The sequence below is a fragment of the Homo sapiens genome, chromosome 13, assembly GCF_000001405.40.
Source record: "Homo sapiens chromosome 13, GRCh38.p14 Primary Assembly".
In the NCBI taxonomy this organism is placed as follows: Eukaryota; Metazoa; Chordata; class Mammalia; order Primates; family Hominidae; genus Homo; species Homo sapiens.
The window spans coordinates 27,991,405-28,017,487 of NC_000013.11; the positions used below are offsets into that span (position 1 = coordinate 27,991,405).

A 26,083-nucleotide genomic window follows, 5' to 3' on the forward strand; every position below is an offset into this window, starting at 1 on the left:
AGCGTGTATGCTGTTTCTGGCCGTGCAGCACAGCATAGTGAGCTTGGACTCGGGAGCCACCACCTGGGTTGTGATCCCAGCTCCACCACCTATTGTGTGACATGTGACAAGTTCTCGAACTTTTCTATATATAAGTTTCCTCATCTGTAAAATGAGGATAATAATAGTATTTATGGCCAAGCGCAGTGGCTCACGCCTGTAATCCCAGCACTTTGGGAGGCCAAGGCGGGTGGATCACCTGAAGTCAGGAGTTCGAGAACAGCCTGGCCAACATGGTGAAACCCCGTCTCTACTAAAAATACAAAAATTAGCCGGGAGTGGTGGTGCGTGCCTGTAATCCCAGCTACTCAGGAGGCTGAGGCAGGAGAATCACTTGAACCCAAAAGGCGGAGGTTGCAGTGAGCTGAGATTGCACCACTGCACTCCAGCCTGGACAATAGAACAAGATTCTGTCTCAAAAAAAAAAAAGAAAGAAAAGAAAAGAAAGAAAAAAGAAAAAGAAAAAGAAAAAATACTATTTGCCTCAGGGAGTTTTGCAAAGATTAAACAAATTAATATACCAAAGTGCTCAGACGGTTCCTGTCTCAGAGCGCTTCATAGGTGTTGGCTAACACATCTTCTGTGTGCAGTCTCTCCGCTGGACTGCCACAGGATTTTCTTTTTTTCCCTTCTGCCAGCAGAGTCACATCCTCTTTTCCTTGTCTAGGCATGCTTTGCCACAGATATAGTCCAACAGCCCAGTATCTGTTTGTTTTCTTTTTCCCTCTGCTGCCACCTCCAGCCTCAGTTAATTTGCGGGCTGGCCTGTGGGACCAGGGAAGGTAGAATCTGTGTCGGGGCCCGTACCACTGCTCTGCCCAGGCCTCCAGCCACATAGGTGTCCCTCGTCCCAGGGGTCGTGGTGAGTGGGAGGGGAAGGCAGAGCAGTGCTGAGGATGAAGAGACCCTGGGCCGCTACTCTTTGACTTCTGAAGGCTCACCCCCTGTGCATGAACCACCCTCCCACTTCCTCCACACACTGAGGGTCTCTGGGGCTGTGAGAGCTCCTGCCTGCACCTTGGGGCTGGGGGGCTCAGTTCGTCTGCAGCAGGAGAGAGACATCTGAATTTGTGAGATGAAACGCCTTTGGCTCAGGGACACGCTGGCACAAGCAGTGGGAATGGCTACACCCCTGATGCTACTCCACCAGACTGGACACCTAACCTCCTCTTACTTTGTTATATCTATCACAAAACAATGGAATTCCAAATGATTCACTAACATAGAAACTTTTAAGACACAAAAGGTTACAAAATTAAATAGTCATGGGTTTAGAAGCAACATTGACAAAAACCAAACAAATGCATTATTAATGTGGAATTTGACAGTCCATGTCACAAATGTACTCTGGGCTTAACTTTTCCTGTTTGGTTCTCATCAGCCAAATCGACCAAAGAAATGTAAGGTGGTCAGGAAGTAAAGCAATTTTCATCCAACCAAAAAGCTAATTTATTAAATTGTACATTATAATTTAGTGTACAATTGTATGCTATGTAAATTATATATCAATAAAACTGTTTTTTAAGCTAAATTATATACTGATGTGGCCTCATAATTTTTGTTTAACCACACAATATATGAGTCTTATGTTATGGTTGCTGAATATATTTGACCTTATTATAATTTTGTTAAGAGACTGTTTTAGCAGCACATAGAGAAAGTTCTTAAATAGGTAAAATCAAATTTTTATTTCATTTTTTAGTTGAAACATTTCAGGCTGGACATAGTGGTTACATCTGTAATATCAGCATTTTTATAGGCTGAGGTGAGAGGATGGCTTGGGCCCAGGAATTCAAGCTTACGGTGAGTTACGATCGTACCACTGCACTCCAGCGTGGGTAAGTGGGTAACAGAACAAGAACAAGACCCTGCTTCAAAAAAAAAAAAAAAAATGCTGGGCACCGTGGCTCATGCCTGTAATCCCAGCACTTTGGGAGACCAAGGAGGGTAGATCATCTGAGGTCAGCAATTTGAGACCAGCCTGGCCAACATAGTGAAACCCCATCTCTGCTAAAAATACAAAAATTAGCCAGGCGTGGTGGTGGGCACCTGTCGTCTCAGCTACTTGGGAGGCTGAGGCACGAGAATCACTTAAACCCGGGAGGCAGAGGTTGCAGTGAGCCGAGATCGCGCCACTGCATTCCAGCCTGGGCAACAGAGTGAAACTCCATCTAAAAAAAAAAAAAAACCAACCAAACAAACACAAAAACACCACATATACACAAACAAACAACATGTGGCCAGGTGTGGTGGTTCATGCCTGTAATCCCAGCACTTTGAAGTGGGAGGATTGCTTGAGCCTAGGAGTTTGAGACCAGCCTGGGCAACATGGAGAGACTCCATCTCTATTAAAAAATAATAATAATTTAAAAATTAGCCAGATGTGGTGGCTGAGGCAGGAAGATTGCCTGAGCCCAGGAGGTCAGCGCTGCAGTGCATCATGATCGCACCACCCGACACCAGGCAACAGATTGAAACCCCCATCCCATCTCAAAAAAACAAAACAGAACATTTCATACATCTGTATCTGTTCTCCTCAACTATAGCCATTCACTTTTCATGATTGGAGCTTATGTAGAAATAGTTTTTGGATAAGATACAAGAAAGACAAATCACTTCCAGGTATATACATCTTCAGTTTGAGGCAAATTAGAAATTGGAACTCATTTGTTCTGCTATTACCAGACCCCTTCACTGGCCGGGTGACTGAGCCAAGCAAGATGAAGTACAGGTGGGAGGGGCCCCGAAGGGATGCCACATCGTGTGACCACCAGGAGCTGGGCAGGCATGGGTTCCAGGTCATGCCCGGCAGGTACTGGCTCCATGTACAAGTGATTTAACCGCCTTAAGCCTTGGTTTCACCATCTGTTAAACTCCTACAGAGCAAGTTCCTACCTCATGATTTGTTAAATGGGACAATCTGTATGAGGCCTTTAGCACAGAGTATGTTACCAATAAAAGAGTTCATCAAAGCAAACCTGGAGGACATTATGCCAGGTGCAATAAGCCAGTCACAAAAAGACAAACACTGCATGATTCCACTTACAAGAGGTGCCTAGAGTAGTCAGATTCAGAGAGACAGTGGGTGGCGGTGGTGAGGGGCTGGAGGAAGGGAGAAGTGGGAAGGGGTTTAATGGGCACATGGTTTTAGTTTTCCAAGATGAAAAAGTTCTGGAGCGGGATAGCAATGATGGTTGCACAACAACATGAATGTCCTTAATACCACCAAACTGTGCACTGAAAAGTGGTTAAGATGGTGAATTTTATGTTATGTTTATTTTGCCACAAAAAATTCACCAAAGCCTTTTTGTCTCTCATTAAGATAATTTGGAATTTAATACATGTTGGACCCCCTAGGAGCTAAAAAACAGATGTGTATTTTTTAGGTGGTAACTCCTCCCACTTTTTATTTCTGTTGCTGATGGTGACCGCAGCATCGACAGAATCAAATGTAAACAATGATAGATTTTTTTTTTTTTTTTTTTTTTGGAGACGGAGTCTTGCTCTTGTCACCCAGGCTGGAGTGCAATGGTGTGATCTTGGCTCACTGCAACCTCCACCTCCCAGGTTCAAGCGATTCTTGTGCCTTAGCCTCCCAAGTAGCTAGGATTACAGGCATGCACCACCACACCTGGCTAAATTGTGTATTTTTAATAGAGACAGGGTTTCGCCATGTTGACCAGACCAAACTTCTGACCTCAAGTGATCCGCCTGCCTCCACTTCCCAATGTGCTGGGATTACAGGAGTGAGCCACCGCACCCAGTTGATCATTTCTTTTTGACAAAAAAATATAAAGGGAGTGGCAGAGGAGTTCAGCTAAGTCTGTTACTGTGGAAGTCTTTCATGAGAAGCTGAAGAGAATGAAAGAAGAGAAAATGAAGGGCCAGGCACAAGTGGCTCATGCCTGTAATCCTAGCACCTTGGGAAGCCGAGGTGGGTGGATCATTTGAGGTCGGGAGTTCAAGACCAGCCTGGCCAACATGGCAAAACCCCGCCTTTACTAAAAATACAAAAATTAGCTGTGCATGGTGGCACGTGCCTGTAATCCCAGCTACTCAGGAGGCTGAGGCAGGAGAATCGCTTGAACCTAGGAGGCAGAGGTTGTGGTGAGCTGAGATGGTGCCACTACACTTCAGCCTGGGAGACAGAGCAAGACTGTCTCAAAAAAAAGGGGGAGGGTGCTAAGGGCTTGAATAGACATCTCTCAAAAGAAAACATACAGATGACCAACAGATATATGAAAAAATGTTCAACATCACTAATTATAAGAGAAATGCAGTTCAAGCCAGCAACAATGTATTAAAAAAAAAAAAGAGAGAGAGAGAGAGGGATAAATGCAGGCTGGGCATGGTGGCTCACACCTGTAATCCCAGCACTTTGGGAGGCCAAGGCAGGCAAATTGCTTGAGTTCAGGAGTTCAAGACCAGCCTGGGGAACATGTGAAACCCCATCTCTAATAAAAATACACACACAAAAAATTAGCCAGGCATGGTGACACATGCCTGTAGTTCCAGGTACTTGGGAGGCTGAGGTGGGAGAATTACCTGAGCCCAGGAGGTTGAGGCTGCAGTAAGCTGAGATCTCACCACTGTGCTCCAGCCTGGGCAACAGAGTGAGACCCTGTCTCAAAAAATAAAAATTAAAAAAAAGAGAGATGATGACCGGGTGTGGTGGCTCATGCCTGTAATCCCAGCACTTTGGGAGGCCGAGGTAGGTGGATCCCTGAGGTCAGGAGTTTGAGACCAGCCTGGCTAACATGGTGAAACCCTGTTTCTACTAAAAACACAAAAAATTAGCCAGGCTGGTGGTGCTCGCCTGTAATCCCAGCTACTTGGGGGGCTGAGGCAGGAGAATCGGTTGAACCCGGGAGGCAGAGGTTGCAGTGAGCCAAGATCGCACCATTGCACTCCAGCTTGGGCAACAAGAACAAAATTTCACTTAAAAAAAAAAAAAGAAAGAAGAGAGAGAGAAAGAGAGAGATGCAAATTAAAACCATAATGAAATACCACCTTACACCTGTTAGATCGGCTATTATAAAAAGATGACAGAAACCGTTATGCACTGTTGATGAGAATGTAAATTAATACAGCCATTTTGGAAGACAGTATGGAGGATCCTCAAAAAACTAAGAATAGACTCACCATATGATCCAGTAATCCACTGGGTATATGTCCAAAAGAATTGGAATCAGTATGTGAAAGAGATGTCTGCACAACCATGCTCATTGCAGCACTATTCACAATAGCCAAGATATAAAAACAATCTCAGTGTCCAGCAACAGATGAATGGATTTTTAAAATATAGTATGTATACACAATAGAAACTACTTAGCCTTATTTATTTATTTTTTTTCTGAGACAGAGTCTCGCTCTTGTTGCCCAGGCTAGAGTGCAATGGCACGATCTCCTCTCATTGCAACCTCCACCTCCCAGGTTCAAGTAATCCTCCTGCCTCAGCCTCCAGAGTAGCTGAGATTACTGGCACCCACCACTGTACCCAGCTAATTCTTGTATTTTTAGTAGAGATGGGATTTCGCCATGTTGGCCTGGCTAGTCTCAAACTCCTGACCTTAGGTGATCCACCCACCTTGGCCTCCCAAAGTGCTGGGATTACAGGCATGAGCCACCAGCCTCGGTCTACTCAGCCTTTAAAAAACAGGAAATTCTGTCCTTTATGATAACATGGATGAATCTAGAGGACATTGTGTTAATTGGAATAAGGCAGACAGAGACAGGCAAATATTGTATGATCTCACTTAGGTGTGGAATCTAAAAAAGTTGAAGCATGTAAGTAGAGTCAAATGTTGGTTACCAGAGGCTGGGGCGGGCAAGATGTGGGGGAGAGGTGAGGGGAGAAGTTTGTCAAAGGGTCCAAAGTTTCCGTTAGACAGCAGGCATAAGCTCTGGTGTTCTATTGTACAACACAATGACTGTAGTTAATAGGAATGTATTGTATACTCCAAAATGGCGAAAACACAGGGTTTTAAATGTTCTCACCACAAATAAATAATAAATATTTGAGGCCGGGCGTGGTGGCTCACACCTGTAATCCTAGCCCTTTGGAAGGCTGAGGCAATTAGATCACCTGAGGTCAGGAGTTCGAGAGCAGCCTGGCCAGCATGGTGAAACCTCGTCTCTACTAAAAATACAAAAATTAGCTGGGCGTGGTGGCACACACCTGTAATCCCAGCTACTCGGGAGACTGAGGCCATGAGAATCACTTGAATCCAGGAGGCGGAGGTTGCAGTGAACAGAGATCACACCACTGCACTCCAGCCTGGGCGAAAGAGCAAGACTCCATCTCAAAAAATGATAATAATCATAAATAAATAAATATTTGAGGCGATGGATATACTAATTACCCTGACTTCATCATCCCACAATGTTTACATGTATTGAAACATCACATTGTACCCCATAAGTAGATACAATTATTATTTGTCAGTTTAAAATAAAACTTTTAAAACCCAACTGAATACTGAAGAAATGAATTGAAGCTATCTGCATAGAGGGTTGTTTTCCTTCGAATCAGCGGATTGGCTTTTTCTTTCATTCTGCTACTTAAAATCTGCCTTTCCAGGGGCAGGCAGGGCGTAGTCGCGAAGTCAGGCCTAGGGCCTGAGATCAATTTTTTAAAGAAGTGCTAGGGCGCCAGCTGCTGGCAAGATTACTACAAAGGCCTAGTGGAAAGGGCTGCCCTTGTGCAGCAACAGCCTATGTAGGAACAGCAAGTTGCATTCCTCCTCGGTGTTAAAAATAGGTAGTTATGTCAGGTACAAAACTTGACCCAAACTGAAATAGAATCTGTGGTAAGAATTTGGTTTAATAAGAGTTGATTTTCATTTCTCCTTAAGAGGTTGTACATTTTATGTGGGTTTTTTTACCACAATAAAAAATAGACAGATATGATAAAAAGAGACAAAATGAGAATTACAAAAAGCTAAGAAAGAAAAGTAAGGAAATACAGAAAATCACATAATAGTAGAACCCAACAGTCATCTCAAGGTAAGTGTTAACAGGGGACTGGAGACAGCAAGTTATTAGCTCAAGTTTCAATTTCCTCAGAAAAAATTGGTATAAGTTTAGAACCTAATTCATAAGGTAGTTAGGAAGATTAAATGAGATAACACACATCTAGTTCCCTGCACATAACAAGCCCTTCACAGATACACATATTGGGCAAATATTGACACATTGTAAAGAATAAAAGGCATGTCTGACAATATAGCCAGTATGATTTCATTTACATAAAAAAGATGTGTGTGTGTGTGTATATGTAACTATGTGTGTGCAGTTATATATATATAAATATATATATTTATATATAAATATATGTTATATATACATAAATATATGTTATATATATTTATATATATTTATATACATATAAATATATATATTTATATACATATATAAAAATATATATATATTTATATATAAATATATGTTATATATATTTATATACATATAAATATATATTTATATACATATAAATATATATTTATATACATATAAATATATGTATATACATATAAATATATATTTATATACATATAAATATATATTTATATACATATAAATATATGTATATACATATATATATGTATATACATATAAATATATATGTATATACATATAAATATATATGTATATACATATAAATATATATAATATTTATATACATATATATATTTATATTTATATGTATATACATATATATTTATATTTATATGTATATACATATATATATTTATATTTATATGTATATACATATATATATGTATATAAATATATATATTTATATGTATATAATATACATACATATATATATATTTTTTTGAGATGGAGTTTTGCTCTTGTTGCCCAGGCTGGAGTGTAATGGCTCCATCTCGGCTCACCACAACCTCCACCTCCTGGATTCAAGTGATTCTCCTGCCTCAGCCTCCCAAGTAGCTGGGATTTACAGGGATGCGCCACCATGCCCCGCTAATTTTGTATTTTTAGTGGAGACGGGGTTTCTCCATGTTGGTCAGGCTGGTCTCAAACTCCCAACCTCAGGTGATCCACCTGCCTCGGCTTCCCAAAGTGCTGGGATTACAGGTGTGAGCTACTGTGCCCTGCCATGTAAATATATTTAACAAGAAGATGGGGGAAATATACCTCAAACTTTTTTATTTTTTCAGAGACAGGGTCTCACTCTGTAGCCCAGGCTGGAGTGCAATGGTGTGATCATGGCTCACCACAGCCTTGAACTCCTTTGAGCAATCCTCCCACCATAGCCTCCCAAGTAGCTGGGACTATGGATACACACCACCACTCCCAGCTAGTTTTTACGTTTTTTTTTTTAATTTCTGTAGAGATGGGGGTCTCTCACCACATTGCCCAGGCTGGTCTTGAACTCTTGGCCTCAAGTGATCCTCCCATCTCCGCCTCCTAAAGTGCTGAGATTACAGGCATGAACCACTGCATCCAGCCAATACCTCAAACTTTATCAGTAGTTTTCCCGAAGTAGTATTTTGGGATTTGGGTTGTACAAATAAAAGGTCCCACTTATTATTATAGGTAAAAATAAAAAATAGTTTATTTTTTTTTTTTTTTTTGAGACAGAGTCTCGCTCTGTCGCTCAGGCTGGAGAGCAGTGGCATGATCTCGGCTCACTGCAACCTCCGTCTCCTGGGTTCAAACAATTCTCTGCCTCAGGCTCCCAAGTAGCTGGGATTACAGGCACCTGCCACCACGCCTGGCTAATTTTTGTATTTTTTAGTAGAGAGGGGGTTTCACTGTCTTGGCCAGGCTGGTCTTGAACTCCTGACCTGGTGATCCACCTGCCTCAGCCTCCCAAAGTGCTGGGATTACAGGCGTGAGCCACTGCGCCACTGCGCCGGGTCAAAATGATTTGATTTTTAACATCAAGCGTATTTTATGTTTTTACTTGAGTAGGTAAAAAAGTGATTGACTATGTATACTTATTGTATCTTGACTGTATACCCAAATCAGAGTTAAGCATACAACTTGGCATAAATCATATCTGCTTTCAAACTTCTTAAAATCCTGTTAAGAAGACAGGACATTTACTTAAGAAGATAAATAACAGCATAAGGTAGGCAGGCTCTACATTGAGATACAGACCAGAAGCCCTTACATTTCAGTGCAGGAAGCCGTCACTCATGGGCTCGGAAACTGGCGAAGACCTGAAGGAGAAGAAAGAGCTGAAGTCTGGTCAGGAAGCAAGGATGTAACTAGGAAGAGCAGAAGTTGACATTCCAAGGAGAGGAAAACCAGAGGTGGGAATGTTCAAGACACACTCGCTAGAGGGACAGGCTAAGCAGCCAGTGCTGAGCAATGCTGAGGCCAGGCTGTGGGTGCATGGAGTGCTAGGAAGAGAGTGTGGCTTTTGCTGCTAGACCCTGGGAACTAGCTGCTAGATCCCAGGAAGCCCTGCAGGCAGCGACATATGCAAATCAGTACTTTAGGAAGATGAACCTGGCAGTGGCTTAGAGAAAACACTGAATGGTGGAGAGATTGGAGGAAGAGTTAGGTGAGGAAGGAGTCACAGGATCCTTGGGGTGTTGCTTTGCCAGCTGGAAACCTTTGTGGCTCGCGATGCCTTCTGCCTGAGTATTGCTCGCAGCCTCTGGGCTTATTCCACCCACTCAGCCCAGCAGTCTGGCTCAGCTTGCAATATGGGCCCAGATCCCACACCTGCCAAGGGCGAGCCAGGCGCAGAGCCAGGAGGGGTGCGTGGGTTAGTGACCAAGGGTCCGACCACTGTGTGCAGCCAGGCACGCTGGCTGCTGCAGCGGGGTGGGCAGCTCCAGGCACTGGCACAGGTGCCAGCTCAGGGTGAGGCTACAGCTGGGTTAGATATAACACATGCCGCTTCTGCTGCAGGCATCCATGTCTGGACAAGGGGAACACGGTGGCCTGGCAGCTTGGAGACGCCAGGAACCACAGAGCCCCAAAGAGGCTGTCAGAGCCCTGGCTTGGGGAGCTCGAGGTCTGGGCCCCCTGAAGGGCCACGTCTTCTTCCCTTGTCACCAGGTTGTTACAGTTCTTTCAGTCCCATCATTCAGTGGGTCCGAAGTTCTTGTCCAGTGTCCAGGAAGAATGAGGTACTCGCACATGTGGAGGGTGAACAAGGCAGGGAGGAGCTTCACTGAGCAACAGAACAGCTCTCAGGAGACCTGAAGTGGGTAGCTCCCTTCCACAGGCAAGTTGTCCTGAGGTCTCTGCAAATCTGGCTGAGTTGTGGGGGTCAGGGAGGTGGGTGCGGGGAGTGGGGAGGTTAATGGGCTTCAGAAAGGAGAAAGTGCATGCCGATTGTTGGTGCATGGGCCAGCGAAAAAGCACCAGAATTTCTCACTCCCTGCTGGGGACCCCACCCGGAACTGACAGCTTGGCCCCCATGCTTCGGGCAGTCCCTGGCTTGAAGGTGGGGCTTCACTGGGGACCTGACTCCTTCTGCCCAGGAGCCTATCTGCCTCCCGCTACCATCGATTATGTCATCCACGGTGCCTAGACTGTTCCTGCTGAGGGGCACCTGCAGACCCATGCCTAGCCACCCTCAGCCCCGGCTTGGCCTCCCTCCTGTGCTGGTCGGTGTCCAAAGTCCAGAGGGGGCCAAGGCAGCAGGGAGCTGGCATGTCAGCGCCACCCTAAGTGCGCACACACCTGGCAGGGCGGCGACAGTGGGGGAGCTCAGCCTCAACTTTGCTCAAAAATCTGAGTGCCACCAGGAGTGGGAAGAGGCCAGGCAGCAAGAGCAGACACTTGTGAGCAGTGGGGGCAGGAAGGGCTTCCCCGGCCGGGAGCGCAGGGACGTCTAAGTCTGCAGCCACCGCTAGTCTGGTGGCAGCTGCTCCCAGGAGGGTGGGGCTCCCGCCCTGCCATCTCAAAAGGGGGCGGGGCTCCCACTAGCTCCACGGAGCGCACAGCCCCTGTGGCTCCCACACTGCAGCTGGCATCTTTGCAGTGGCCACTCCAGATGGGCCGCTGCTGCCATTAAAAGGACTGGTAATCTAAGGGAGTTTATGGTGACCTGGTACTAGGCAAAGGATTAAAACTATAAAGGAAGGCACAAATGATGCTATTAGGTCACACTGAGGTGCCAGGCATTGATCTACATGATGTATATGTTTATGTTCTATATTTCTATATTTCTAAGCTACGTATATATTTAATTCATCTAATTATTCCAGCAACTCTATAAAAGAGATGCCATTAGTGTCCCATTTTTCAGAAAAGGAAACTGAGGCTAGAGAAGTTGAGTTACTTGCCCCAATGACACAGCTAAGGCCAGGTGAAAAGAGAATTCCAACCTGGGCTGACCGGTTCCAGATCCCTTGTCCCTCACCACTACATGCAACAGGAGGTGGAGGAGAAAGAAGAGGCAGAATTTGGTGGCACCTGTCGTGTAAGCGGAGGTGGGCGGGGCGGGGGCACAAACCAAGTTCATAAGCCTACAGGATGGAGGGTGCTAAGCTTCAAAGGACAAAGAGGGCTGGTCGCCATGGCTCACACCTGTAATCCCAGCACTTTAGGAGGCTGAGGCAAGAGGACTGTTTGAGGCCAAGAATTTGTGACCAGCCTGCACAGCATAGCAAGACACTATCTCTACAAAAAATTTTAAAAATTAGCTGGGCGTGGTGGCCTGTGCTTGTAGTCCCAGCCACTCAGGAGGCTGAGGTGGGAGGATCGCTTGAGGCCAGGAGTTTCAGGCTGCAGTGAGCTGTGATCTCACCACTCCACTCCAGCCTGGGAGACAGGGTGAGACCCTGTCACTAAAACATTAAATAAACAAACAAATAAATAAAAATAAAATGAAGGGGACTGTGGGGACAAGAGTAACTTTATTGAAAATACTAATCCTCCATGTTACTTCTGACTGGCCCTGAGTCTGGGAAGGCCGCCAAAGTGTCTAGGTGATGTATTACTCTTTATGGTAGAACACCTATTCATTATAAACTTCCCCCAATACAACCCCTGTTGTTGCAGAAATCTTAGGCTGTGACAACCATAGCTGCCTACACATTCCTTGTATCTTGGGGTAAAAGCACACGTGCTCTGGAAGGAATGTGTAGGTGGCTATGGGTGCACAATTTCAGGGGGTTCGTGAACTCCAGTTAAGACTTGCCCTAATTATACCATGTAAATAATTCAATAATGGGCAATTCTGTAGTAGAAATTTTATTCCCACCCATAAAATATATCACTAAATAGCTGAAAAATTTACATATTATTTTAAAACATAGACTTAAAAAATCATATTAGCTTCTCCTTAGCAAAATGCTTTTGTTTTATGTATTTACAAGAATATACTGTACTTCAGGTACACAATTCACTCAAGCCAGCCTGAGAAGGCCTTGGATGCAGATCAATGCTCCAATAAAGTTCATTATCAGCTCCTCCTGCCTTGTGACAGGATGATTTGATTTTACAAAAGTCCCTTTGAAAACAAGAGTAAACGCAGACAGCTTCTAGAGAAAAGTCTGGTGAAGCAGCAGTTGATAATAGATTTTCTTTTAGTGATGAAATTAATCTTGTTTTGGTAATCTACAGCCTGTTAGGGATAGGTGGAGGGATGAAGTCCTTAAAACTAAATTGTTCCTCTACGAATCTTCGACCTGAGCCTGCGGAGAGAGTAGCCCCAAATCCATCTCTCTGCTGAAAGGTCGCCTGTTTTGGTAGGTGTGAGGACATTCCGAAACACGGCCATCCACATTCTGATACATCTGAATGTGGGAAAGAGACAGAACACTGATTACCATCTGATGTAGATGCACATGTTATGCGCCCATATTACAAATTATTTAAATAAAAACAGTTGTTCTATATAGACAATTACTTTTTTGTTTGTTTGTTGTTTGTTTGTTTATTTTTTGAGACAGAGTCTCGCTCTGTTGCCCAGACTGGAGTGCAGTGGTACAACCATAGTTCACCGTGGCCTTGATGTTCTGGGTTTGAGCAATCCTCCCACCTTAACCTCCTGAGTAGCTGGGACCACAAGCAGGCTCCACCACACCCTGCTAATTTTTTTATTTTTTGTAAAGACAAAGTCTCACTATGTTGTCCAGGGTGGTCTCAAACTCCTGGGCTCAAGTGATCCCACACCACCCCGGCCTCCCAAAGTGCTGCGATTACAGGTGTGAGCCACTACGCCCGGCCTAGACATCACTTTTAAAATGTTTAAACTGATATATAATAGATGTACATATTTTCAGGAAACGTGTAGACAAGTACTTTTATTATGCATAGGTCTCAGAGGATATTCTATATAACTAAAAAAGCAATTTTGGTCCTTTTATTAATGGAGAAATCAAATCATAGTCAAATATTTTATTTCATTATTGAGTCTACTCTCAGATATAAAATGTCACCCTAGAAATCCTAAAACCATGCAGAAAAATCATAAAAGAGAAAGGCCACAAAAGGAAATCTGTTCATTATGGAGTTAATACAAGGGACTGATTCTTGAGTTTTCCCTTGGAGTTTCACGACTTTTAAATATTTTTTTCTGAAATGAAGAGATTTACTTTCCTTTCCCAAATATGAAGTTAACATGCATTCATATAGATAATTTGAGAAATACAGAAAGAGACGTAGAAGGCCGGGCGCAGTGGCTCATGCCTGTAATCCCAGCACTTTGGGATGCCGAGGCGGGCGGATCACCTGGGGTTGGGAGTTCAGGACCAGCCTAGCCAACGTGGAGAAACCCTGTCTCTACTAAAAATACAAAACTAGCCGGGCATGGCGGCGCGCGCCTGCAGTCCCAGCTACTTGGGAGGCTAAGGCAGGAGAATTGCTTGAACCTGGGAGGTGGAGGCTGCAGTGAGCCTAGATTGTGCCACTGCACTCCAGCCTGGGTGACAGAGCAAGACTCCATCTCAAAAAAAAGAAAAAAGGCTACAAGTCATGACAAGTACCCGCCATTATAGACAGCTTGCTATGCACACACAATTTTGTGTCTGTGGGCTCAGGCTATATATTCTATTTTGGAACCTTATTTTGAATTATCAATATATTGTTATTATACTGCTCATATGTTGCCTGTGTCACATATTTACATTATTCACTAAGGATGGCCACATATTTTTTTTTCACGGCAGCCTAGAGTTCCATAGTACTGATGCATCATAATTAACCTTTTGACCAACTGGTTATACGAAACAAACTGAAAAGTGCACACTCAATCTAGTCTGACGTTGGGATAAGCAGAAGTGGAATTGCTGGATCAAAAAGGATGCACACTTGAACTGTGATACACAAGGCCAGGCTGCCCTGCAGAAAGGTTGTATTTATTTCTACTCCTATCAACGGTGCCTGGAAACTATATTTTCCAGAGCCTTCTGAACAATGGGTATGTCAGCCTCCCACATCTCTTCTCTTTTGCTGAGCAAGAAGTTCTATCTCCTTAACTATATATGTTTCACTATCTGCAAAGTTGGGCCTTTTTCCTATACTTTATGTCCATTTGTTTTCATTTTGAATAGCCTGCCTATTTCCTTTGCCTTTTATGTATATAAAAGGCTATACAGGCTGGGTGTACTGGCTCAACTCTGTAATCCTAGCACTTTGGGAGGCCGGGGCGGGAGGATTGCTTGAGGCCAAGAGTTCAAGACCAAACTAACCAACATAGCAAGATCCTGTCTCTAAAAGAAATAAGTTTTTAAAAGGTGATACATTTTTATTATTATTTGTTTATAAGAACTTTATGATTTAGGAATCATGCATTCTATTTAAATTTTATAGATTTGTTCCGTTCCCACAGCCCTTGTTACTGTCTACTTCTTTTTCTTTGTTTTTGACAGTTTTAATGTGAACTGTCCAGACTGCCTCCTACACTTCACTTTTCTTTCTAGAAAATTGTGTGTGTGTGTGTGTGTGTGTGTGTGTGTGTGTATCCTTTGACCCAAAATATATCCATTGTGAACCAGGTGTTGCACAATGACAGCTTTGCTTGTACCCTGAAGGATGAACAGTAACTACTCATGCGTGCCTTTTGTGAAGTAGACATAGCAGTTAGTTAGCATTTGTTGAACCTGTTGAATCCAAATGTACATCTCTACCACTGAATTTCTAACCACCTCATGAAGTTTGTGTAGCACAAATACCAATAACACTTCCAATCTTCCACCTGAATTAACTAACATGTGCTCTTCATCCAGTCTCACTGTCTAGAAGTTTCTAGAACCATCTCTGACAATCTCTCTCCACTCCCATAGCTAGTTACTGGGTATAGTTGTAATACATCACTCTTTTCCATTTCTTTAAGTGACCTTTCTTTCCTTTTTTTTTTTTTTTTTTGTTGTTGCTGTTGCTGTTGTGACAGAGTCTCACTCTGTTGCCCAGGCTGGAGTGTTGTGGCATGATCTCAGCTCACAGCAACCTCTGCCTCTCAGGTTCAAGCAATTCTTGTGCCTCAAGTAGCTGGGACTACAGGTGTGTACCACCACACCTGGCTAATTTTTATATTTTTTTAGTAGAGACAGGGTTTCACCATGTTGACCAGGCTGGTCTTGCACTCCTGGCCTCAAGTGATCCACCCACCTAGGCCTCCCAAAGTGCTGGGATTACAGGCGTGAGCCACCACCCTCAGCCACTGTTGTTTTTAACAGGCTCACAGATAACATCATAAAAGTGACCTTTAAATGACTTTTTAAATACATTCTCCTTATGAAATTGTGAAACAAACCCTAGGTTTTCAAATGTATCATTATAAAGAAGTATATAAATTTTCTTATACTTTAAAAAATGGTTCTTTTTTCCTTAGTTATCGTTTCCTTTTCATCTGAATGTTATTTATTTGTGCTTTTTTCTTTTTCAAGACAGGGTCTCGCTCTGTCACTCAGGCTGGAGTACAGTGGTGCAATCACAGCTCACTGCAGCCTCAACCTCCTAGGCAGAAGTGATTCTCTTGTCTCAGCCTCCTGAGTAACTGGGACTACTGGTGTGCGCCACTACACCTGGTTAATTTTTTAATTTTTGGTAGAGATGGGGTCCCATTATGTTGCCCAGTCTGGTCTCAAACCTCTGAGCCCAAGTGATCCTCTCACCTTGGCCTCTCAATGTGCTGGGATTACAGGCGTGAGCCACCACACCCGACTTCTTTTTTTCTTAATTGTTCACTTCAAAGATAGTAGCTTTAGTAGTATATTTGTATACTTTGTTGATATACAATATTAATATACAGTATAGACTACACTCAGACTGCTGTATTCAAATCCTAAGTCTGACATTTACCATGTTACCTTAGGCAAATTACTTAACCTCTCTGTGCCTCAATTTACTAGTCTGCTAAAGGGATAATAATAGAACCTACTTCAGGAGATTGAGGTGAGGATTAAGAGTTATTAATTTTGTGGCTAATACATTAGTAAACTCTATGATTAAATACTCAAAAAATGTTAGCAATTACATTATTAGTTCAAAAAACAACTTTTGGTTTTCCTGATCATCGCTATTATTTTGCTGTTGCTACTTCCTCTGTGTCATTAAATCTGGCTATATCTCTATTAATTCCTTCTTTCTGCTTTGTTCATTTTCCTCCTCCTCTCTCTCTCCACCTTCTTCTTTATTGTTGTTTGTTTTTTCCCTAGCTTCTTAAATTGAAAGGTTAATCAGGCTAGGTGCGGTGGCTCACACCAGTAATCCCAGCACTTTGGGAGGCTGAGGCAGGAGGATTGCTTGAGGCCAGCAGTTTGAGACTAGCCTGCACAACATAGCAAGATCCCCATCTCTGCAAAAGAGAATTTTTAAAAAGTACTCAGGAAGCTGAGGTGGGAGGATCGCTTGATTCCAGGAATTTGAGGCTGCAATGAGCAAGAACCTGTCTCAAAAAAAAAAAAAAAAAAAAAAGGAAAAAAAGGTTAGCTATTGATTTTCATTTTTCTTTGTTTTCTAATAAATGAATTTAGAATTATGAATTTGGGTAACTCTCACAGGTTTTAATAGGCAATATCCATTTTTGCTCCTTCTCCCTCTTTCCCCTTCTTCTTCTTAAGCAAAGACTTGCTTAAGAGGCATGATTTTTATTTTATTTATTTATTTTTTGAGACAGAGTTTCGTTCTGTTTGCACTCCCAGGCTGGAGTGCAATGGTGCAGTCTAGGCTCACTGCAACCTCCGCCTCCCGGTTTCAAGCACTTCTCGTGCCTCAGCCTCCCAAGTAGCTGGGATTTTAGCTACCTGCCACCACACCCAGCTAATTTTGTCTTTTTAGTAGAGACGGGGTTTCACCAGGTTGGCCAGGCTGGTCTCGAACTCCTGACCTCAGGTGATCCACTCGCCTCAGACTCCCAAAGTGCTAGGATTACAGGCGTGAGCTACCACGCCTGGCTGATTTTTAATTTTGGTATATAAATTTGGGGGCTTTTTTGGTTGGGTGATTTTTTTATTACATTGTATTGAGATTAGTGAATGTGGCATTCACTAACAATGCATGTTAACAACTTTATTTATTCTGAGATTCTCTTTCCTAAGTAGGCTTACTGATTGTTGCCATTTTGTGTTTTATTTTTGTATTTTCAATTTTTATTTATTTATTTTATTCTTTAGAGATGGGATCTCTCTCCTTTGCCCATATTGGAGTGCAGCAGCCCAGTTATAGCTCACTGCAGCCTCGACTTCCTGGGCTCAGGGAATCCTCCCAGCTCAGCCTCCTGAGTAGCTAGAACTACAAGCTTGCACCACCACACCCAGCTAATTTTGTGTTTTCTATTTCCATGAACTCTCTTTATTTTTCTCTTCCCCCATTTTGTTGGACTGATTATGTTTTCTATGGTCATTTTCTTCCCCTGTACTGAAACAGAAGTTATGTGTTACGTTTCTATCTCACCCATATCGTTCTTACATTTTTAACACCCACATTTAATCTTATGTTGATTTCACCATGTGGCTGCTCCTGCTTCAGAACTTCTGCAGTGTCCCAGGACTTCTTGCTGCCTTTGTGTTACCCTTGTCCTTGTTTTTCCCAGGCATCCTCTGTGGTGGGTTTTCCCTCTGCAGTGCAATTTTAACTGCTTTCATTGTCTCAGGGATTTTCCACAGTTTCTGGTCCACAAAAAGATCTCTTTCTTACTGTCAAAGCCAATTATGGCCTCACTTTTATTTTAGTTTAGTTTAGTTCTGTTCTGTTGAGACAGAGTCTTGCTCTGTCACCCAGGTTAGAGTACAGTGGCATGATCGTGGCTTACTGCAGCCATGACCGCTCCCCAGACTCAAGCGATCCTCCCACCTCAGCCTCCCTAGCAGCTGGGACCACAGGAATGCACCACCACGCCTGGCTAATTTTCAAATTTTTTTGTAGAGATAGGGTTTTACCATGTTGCCCAGACTGGCCTTGAACTCCTGAGCTCAATCTATGTTTGTGCCTCAGCCTCCCAGAGTGCTGGGATTATCAGTGTCAGCCACCACGCTTGGCCTCCCTTCTCTTAAAACAAAACAAACTTATTTCCTATAATTTATGGGGCTGAGTAGGAGAGGGGAGGTGATGTTAGTTCAGACCCCTTTTCTGAAACAGGGGACAAGTATGTGCCCCCTTTTATCAGCCCACAGCCCCTGCCTAGTGTGCTCCCTCAGCGTGCCCATCCTTGCTGCTGCCGCCCCTCTCAACTGATGTCCTGACATCTCATCTTCTGCCTCGCTTTTCCAAACTTCCTTTTATGCTCTCTTTTTCTTTCTCATTCCAGAAATGTTTGCTGAGCGCCTTCCACGTGCTAAGCATCATGCTAGCAGCGGGGTCTATAATGATGAACCAAACAGATGTGGTCTCCAACTTGCTTTCATGCTGACTTCATTCATTTACTTAATATCACATGGCAAGCACTACCCCATGGGGTGTAAAGATGAACAGGAAACAGTATTTACCCTTGCTAATGAAGTCTAGTGACGACAGAGAGAGACCCATAATATAAAGTCATCCTACACTAGGATTTGAGTCTCACATGGAGTTACAGCTGAAAGTGTTAATGAGAATTCAGAAGCAGCAGCCTGAAATCTGACTAGGGAAATTGGGGGAGGCTTTGCAGAGCACAGAATATTTGATCTGGTTCTTAAAGATTGAAGCATGTTTGTCCATCCTAAAAATCTTCATCGGTTCACCACTGTCTAAATGCCTAGACAGGTAATCATGTAATCAGTGATCTCCCTGATCTAATCCCATTGGTGTTGAGGTTAGACATAAAAGCCTTAACCTATGTTTTCTCCATGCATTTCCCACTCTTTCTCTCTGGTTCTCTGAGGGCCCTTTTCCTTCCCTAGTCCTTGATGCAGAAACAAAGATTCTGGCCGGGCATGGTGGCTCATGCCTGTAATCCCCCCACCTTGGGAGGCCGAGGCAGGCGAATCGCTTGACCTCAGGAGTTTGAGACTAGCCTGGCCAACATGGTAAAACCCCGTCTCTACTAAAGATGCATTAGCCAGGCGTGGTGGCAGATGCCTGTAATCCCAGCTACTCAAGAGGCTGAGGCACGATAATTGCTTGAACCCAGGAGGTGAAGGTTGCAGTGAGCGGAGATCACGCCACTGCACTCCAGCCTGGGTGACGGAGTGAGACTCTGTCTAAAAAAAATAAATTAAAAAGAAAAATAGGGCCAGGTGGGGTGGCTCACGCCTGTAATCTCAGCACTTTGGAAGGCTGAGGTGGGCGGATCATGAGGTCAGGAGTTTGAGACCAGCCCGGACAATATGGTGAAACTCCGTCTCTGCTAAAAACACAAAAATTAGCTGGGCGTGGTGGCGCGTGCCTGTAGTCCCAGCTACTCAGGAGGCTGAGGCATAAGAATTGCTTGAACCCAGGAGGCAGAGGTTGCAGTGAGCTGAGATCATGCCACTGCACTCCAGCCTGGGTGACAGAGTGAGACTCTGTCTCAAAAAAAAAGAAAAGAGGAGAGGAGAGGGGAGGGGAGGGGAGGGGAGGGGAGGAGAGAAGATTCTACAAAACCTTTCACAGATATAACAGGGAAGATCACCCTGGGGAAGGTGACAAGGCCAGTTTTCCAACCAAGGGACTAGATAGGATTCTGCAGAGTGGGCAGGGCTGCCTGCGTGGCTGTGTGGGTTGTGCCTTGCACCAAACAAAAGTGCCCAGCAGAGCGGGCAAGATGGCTGAGACCCACGCCAAGCTCTCCTCCTTCAGACTGGCTTAGACTGAGGCAGGCTGCATGAGCCCTAAGTAAGGGGTTCCTCTGGACTCCTCCCACCCGGGGAGGGGGGCATTTCCTTCCTTCCTTCCTTCCTTCCCTCCTCCTTCCTTCCTTTCTTTCTCTTTTTCTCTTTCTTTCTTTCTCTCTTTCTTCTTTCTTTTTTTTCTCTCTTTCTCTTTCTTTCCTTCCTTCTTTCTCTCTTTCTTTCTCTTTTTCTTTCTTTTTCTTTTTTGAGATAGAGTCTCACTGTGTCACCCAGGCTGGAGTGCAGTGGTGCCATCTCGGCTCACTGCAACATCCACCTCCCAGGTTCAAGCGATTCTTCTGCCTCAGCCTCCCGAGTAGCTGGGATTACAGGCATGCGCCACCACGCCTGGCTAATTTTTTTTTAGTAGAGATGGGATTTTGCCATGTTGGCCTGGCTGGTCTGGAACTCATGACCTCAAGTGATCCGCCCACCTCAGCCTCCCAAAGTGCTGGGATTACATGTGTGACCCACTGCAATGGGCCATGGGGGCCTGTTTTCTAACCTGCTTAAAGGAGCTACCATTTTCTCTGGGTGCTTCTGACACTGGTCACAGAGGGTCAGGGAACAGAGTGGAAGGAACTGGGAGAAAAAGTTTGTGAACCGTCTGTCCCTAAGCATGGATTCTCTCAGCTGATTAATCATGCATGGATATGTTGCCATTCAACGGTTCCTGATACCTGACAGGCCCCCTGAACACAGGAAAGGGGATCTGGACATCCTGTGAGTATGGGGACAGGAAAGGAGAAGCTCAAACCAAGACCCAAGTGGTCCTGAAGCCTCCATCCTGGCGACACGAGCTTTGCACTTTTTTTTCCCTCTCTACTCCCCCATTCTCCCTGTATATTAGGCACAGCCATCTACTTGCCACTCTACTTTTTCAACTTTGGACTTTTATTTATATGATTCATTCATCCTGGAATATCCTACTCACCCTCTACTCTCCAGCAGACAAGATGCTACTCAGTCCTCACATCCAGCTCACAAGTTCCCCACAAATCCACACCCAACTATGCAATGAGTAACATCAATCAGTCCTCTCTTAGCCAGGCGTGGTGGCTCATGCCTGTAATCCTAGCACTTTGGGAGGCTGAGGCAGGTGGACCACTTGAGCTCAGAAGTTTGAGAACAGCCTGGGCAACATAGTGAGAGCCCGTGTCTACCAAAAATACAAAAAAAATAGCTGGGTCCGGTGGTGTGTGCCTGTGGTCCCAGCTACTTGGGAGGCTGAGGTGGGAGGATTGCTTGAGCTCACAGTGTGGAGGCTGCAGTGAGCTGAGATCATTCCACTGCACTCCAGCCTGGATGACAGAGCAAGACCCTGTCTCAAAAAAAAAAAAAGTGTATAGCTAGACAGCTATACATGCACATATACATTCTTTCTTTACCAGCTCACTTCCTGTTTCATTCTAAACTCTTCTTTCAGTTTACCTTATGGTGTCATGAACAGTTTATAGGTATCTGTGCAATAGGCTATAAGTCTGCTGGGGGCTTTCCATTTCCTCTGGCCTTTTGACCTAATTCTCTGACAATAACCTAGTTTCCATGTCATTTTCAAAAAAATCACAGCAGTAGGAAAGTACACACTATCTACCCAGGTCTATATAGAGAATACAGAACTGAAAACTGACTCATAACAATTTAGAAAGGAGGACAGACAATCCACTTAAAAATCAGATTTATATTTAACTAACATTTTATGGAGTAAATACCAAGTGCCCAGTACGTGCTAACTCTTCTCACATACATCACCTGATTTACTCCTTCTTACAACTCCATGAGGTGAGATTTGTTAATCACATATTTCAGGTAAAGAAACTGAGAAGGAGACTTCCCAAAAGATTAAGTGACTTATCAAGTAAACGATGGAGCCAAGATCTGAACCTCAGTATTAGGAGCCCAAGGTTCTCTCCTTTATTTATTTCATCTGGAGATGGTTCTTTTCACTATACCAGGTGGTGGTGTTGATGGGGGAAGCGTTAGCAAAGAAATTCCAAGTCCTCAAAGCTCAAAAGATAATCTAACTTAACAACCCATTTTACAGGTGAGAAAACTGATGCTTAGAGAAGTAAAGTGATTTGCTATAATGGACACAATTGGGAGACAGAGTGGTACAGCTGGTATTCAACCCTCAGAACTCCAGGTCAATGCTCTTTCCAGGCTACCATATAGCATGATTGAGTCATGTGATTTTTCCACACTCATGCTTCATAAGAAAGGGCTAGTGGCTTCTGGAGGCCAGGGATTATTTTTATTTAGTTTTATTTAGTTGTCTACTTCACTGCACTGAACTCTTAAGAGCTTTTAATTTATTAATCATTTGGCTGAAATCAGGAAAGGTGTTTTTTTTCCCTAAAAACATTTTTATCAATATGTCTTAGGGCAGGCAGAGGAGCTCATGCCCTGTGATCCCAGCACTTTGGGAGGCTGAGGTGGGGGAATCGCTTGAGCCCAGGAGTTCAAGACCAGCCTGGGCAATACAGTGATACCCTATTTCTACAAAAAATAAAAAACTTAGCCTGGCGTGGTGCTGCCCTCCCATGGTCCTAGCTACTTGGAAGGCCGTGGCTGGAGGATTGCTTGAGCTTGGGAGGTCGAGGCTGCAGTGAGCCATGATCACGCCACACACTCCAGCCTGGGCCACAGAGCGAGACCCTGTCTCAATAAATAAATAAATAAACAAATAAATAAAGTCTTACCCCACACAACTTTGAAAGGGCAACCCAGAAAAACTGCAATGAGAATGACAACTTGGTACCTTTGGTTCACAGGAAGACAGCAACAAGTGTTTTAATTTACCAATTTCCTTTGTAAAGCTTTATAAAGTCCTGGCTGCTACATACCGCTTCTTCTGCATCTGCCAGCTGACATCCTAAAAACGAAGTCAAATTAGGGAAGGATGGCCGTTTCCTTGAGTCAAAAGCCCAGCAGGATTGCATTATAATGTATCTGTAAAAGCAATAGAACAAGGAACAAGATGAAGAAGTCTGAATGAAGCAAAATGGATCATTTTCCATATAATGAAGCACCATTTATTCCTCTGGAGCTGCTTATTTACAGCATGTTTGTTTTGTGGCAAGTCCTCTACCAGATTTTGAATTCATATCCGAAAGGAGAAATCAGATGGGCAGAAATGCATTTAAAGAAACATGACGTAGTGGATAGAATCGAATGACCTTCATGGAGCCCTCAAGCAAAGGAATTAAAACCGGGAAGCAGGTGCCTCTGAGGACAGGAAAGGTTCAGCTTTGTTCAGAAACTCCCAAAACAAAGAGTTTTCTTTTCTTTTTAAAATGGAATCAGACAGCCAGGTGTGGTGGCTCACACCTGTAATCCCAGCACTTTGAGAGGCTGAGCCAGGAAGATTGCTTGAAGCCAGGAGTTTGAGACCAGCCTGGCCAACACAGCAAGACCTCACTTCTATTTTTTAAAAAAAGAATCCTATACGCTTTGCACTAAGGAGTTTGACTTTTTTTGGTCATGCATTTGGAAGTAGACAGACTGTACCTTTCTGATTTCAACCAAATTACAGTCTGACTTGAACTTACATTTCTTCTGTAGCATAAAATGGCTGATCCATTTTAAATCCATTTTGAATCAGTTTGTAGAAGTTAGCATCAACCGGAATGCCAGGGTAAGGATTCACACCTGAGGAAAACATTAGACAATTGCAGCCATTCATCCATTTCTTCATTTGTTTATTGATTCATTCAATTAAACACGTATTGAGATCTGCCATGTGCCAGACACTGTTGCAGGCACACGGGCTGCGGCTGGGAAAAAGAAGTCACGGTTCACGCTCTCAAGCAGGTTATAGACCAGTGAGGAAGACAGGCTAAAGGACACCAGCAAATAAACATAAAGTCATGGGCTGCAATACAAGTAAGACCCATCAGTGTTGGGGGGAGGGGTGGGGCGGCACCGAGAGAGCAGAGGATGCAAAGCCAGGAGCCAAGGGAGGCCAGCAGCTGCCCAACTTACCAAGTGAGAAGATTTCCCACAGTAATATTCCATATGACCAGACATCACTCTTAATGGTGTAGATGCCTTCAAACAGGCTTTCGGGGGCCATCCATTTTACAGGCAGACGGGCCTGTGGAAAACCCAGAGGAGATAAGATGGTGAATTTTCCACATACAGACATGACTTCTTTTCTTTTGTATTAAGATGAAATGCATCATCTTCCTAAGACCACTCTTAATGCCTTATTGAGAAAATCACATTCCTCACGTGAAAGGTTTTCACTTTCAAATTAACATTCTAATAATACTAGCCTAAAACATAAGGCATATTTCTTTACAACTCCTCTCGAACAAAGGCTTGTGCTTGGAATGGGTAAGTTTAACTTGCCATCTTTCCACTGGAAAGAGGTACTTTCCATTAAGGAATAGCCAGTCAGTTGCCTAGGGGTAAGTGGGTACTAGTGAATTAGTGAGATCTTCTGTTACAGCATTTCTGGGAAGACCTTTAGTGGAAATGTCATCCACAATAATGTCGGGAGGGGAGCCCACGTCATCACTTCCAGAAATGATACCAGTCTGGCTTCTGTGGCTTTAATAATTTCCACTAGCATGAAAGGGAGTTTTGACTTAGTATAGTCTCAGACTAGAATCAAGACACAAGATGGGTAGGTTACTGGGGCAGAGCTTTGTACTGATTTTCTTTCTCTTTTTTTTTTTGAGACGGAGTTTCGCTCTTGTTGCCCAGGCTGGAGTGCAATGGCGCTATCTCAGCTTACTGCAACCTCAGACTCCCTGGTTTAAGTGGTTCTCCTGCCTCAGCCTCCCGAGTAGCTGGGATTACAGGTACGCACCACCATGCCCAGCTAATTTTTGTATTTTTCGTAGAGACGGGATTTCACCATGTTGGCCAGGCTGGTCTTGAACTCCTGACCTCGTGATCCACCCGCCTCAGCCTCCCAAAGTGCTGGGATTACAGCTGTGAGCCACCACACCTGGCTGTACTGATTTTCTTTTACATGGGTTGACGAGTCCTTCACAGCACATGTTTAATCAGCACATGCTTAATCAGCCAAGTAAACCCTCTTTTAAATGTATGCAAACTGATGAGCTATTGATTCATGCAGGCAAGTCTGGTTAATTTGATTAATTAAAGAAATTAATTGTGGTTCCAAATGGAATTCACTTTCCCACATAAGAGACAACCAGCTGGTGGGGTAGAAACTGAATGACTACATATGAGCAGTCTATGATGAGTAGGAGTAGATCGTAAATCAGCTAAGATGATTATTTGTTTCTAGTGGGAATACAGTTTAATTTGACTTTTCACATTTACTGGATGTTCACCCTGGACAAGGTGCTTTCACGTTGGTTTTATTGGCTTTTTCCCACATCAACGCTATGAGGTAAGTGCATAACCCTCATGGGAAACACTACAACATAGTGGTTAGCACAGACTCGGGGCTCAGACTATTCCTGTTCAAGTCCACATGCTGTGTAACCATGGGCGAGTTACTTTTCTGTGCCTCAGTTTCCAAGTGGGTACTCTGAGGAATAAATGAATTAATATGCATAAAGCACTTAGATGTTTAGCACATAGTAAGCACTAAGTCAGCATTTAATATTATTATTATTTCACAAGTAGGGAATTCTTTTTTGAGACAGGGTCTCAAAAAAAAGGGTCTCATTCTGTTGCCCAGGCTGGAGTGCAGTGGCGTGATCACAGCTCACTGCAGCCTCGACCTCCTGGGCTCAAGTGATCCTCCCACTTCAGCCTCCCAAGTAGCTGAGACCACAGGCGTGTGCCACCACACTCAGCTAGTTTTTTATTTTTTATAGAGACAGTTGAGTGTCTCACCATGTTCCATAGGCTGGTCTTGAACCCGGGCTCAAGCAATTCTCCCACCTTGGCCTCTCAAA

The 26,083-nt window shown here is 43.8% G+C and overlaps 1 protein-coding gene across 7 annotated transcripts in view; it reads right to left on the bottom strand.

Moving 5' to 3' along the window:
- Positions 11,870–26,083, bottom strand: part of FLT3 (fms related receptor tyrosine kinase 3) — a 97,303-nt gene continuing 83,089 nt past the window's right edge. For all 7 annotated transcript variants that reach the window (NR_130706.2, XM_017020486.2, NM_004119.3 and 4 more), the window contains 4 exons: positions 24,186–24,297; positions 23,753–23,852; positions 23,048–23,153; positions 11,870–12,770 (listed from right to left, as the gene is read on the bottom strand). Coding sequence is in view for 6 of the 7 variants with exons in the window: in XM_017020486.2 (XP_016875975.1) it covers positions 12,648–12,770; positions 23,048–23,153; positions 23,753–23,852; positions 24,186–24,297 (441 nt within the window). In the remaining variant the exon portion in view is untranslated. The remainder of the gene's footprint in view (positions 12,771–23,047; positions 23,154–23,752; positions 23,853–24,185; positions 24,298–26,083) is intronic.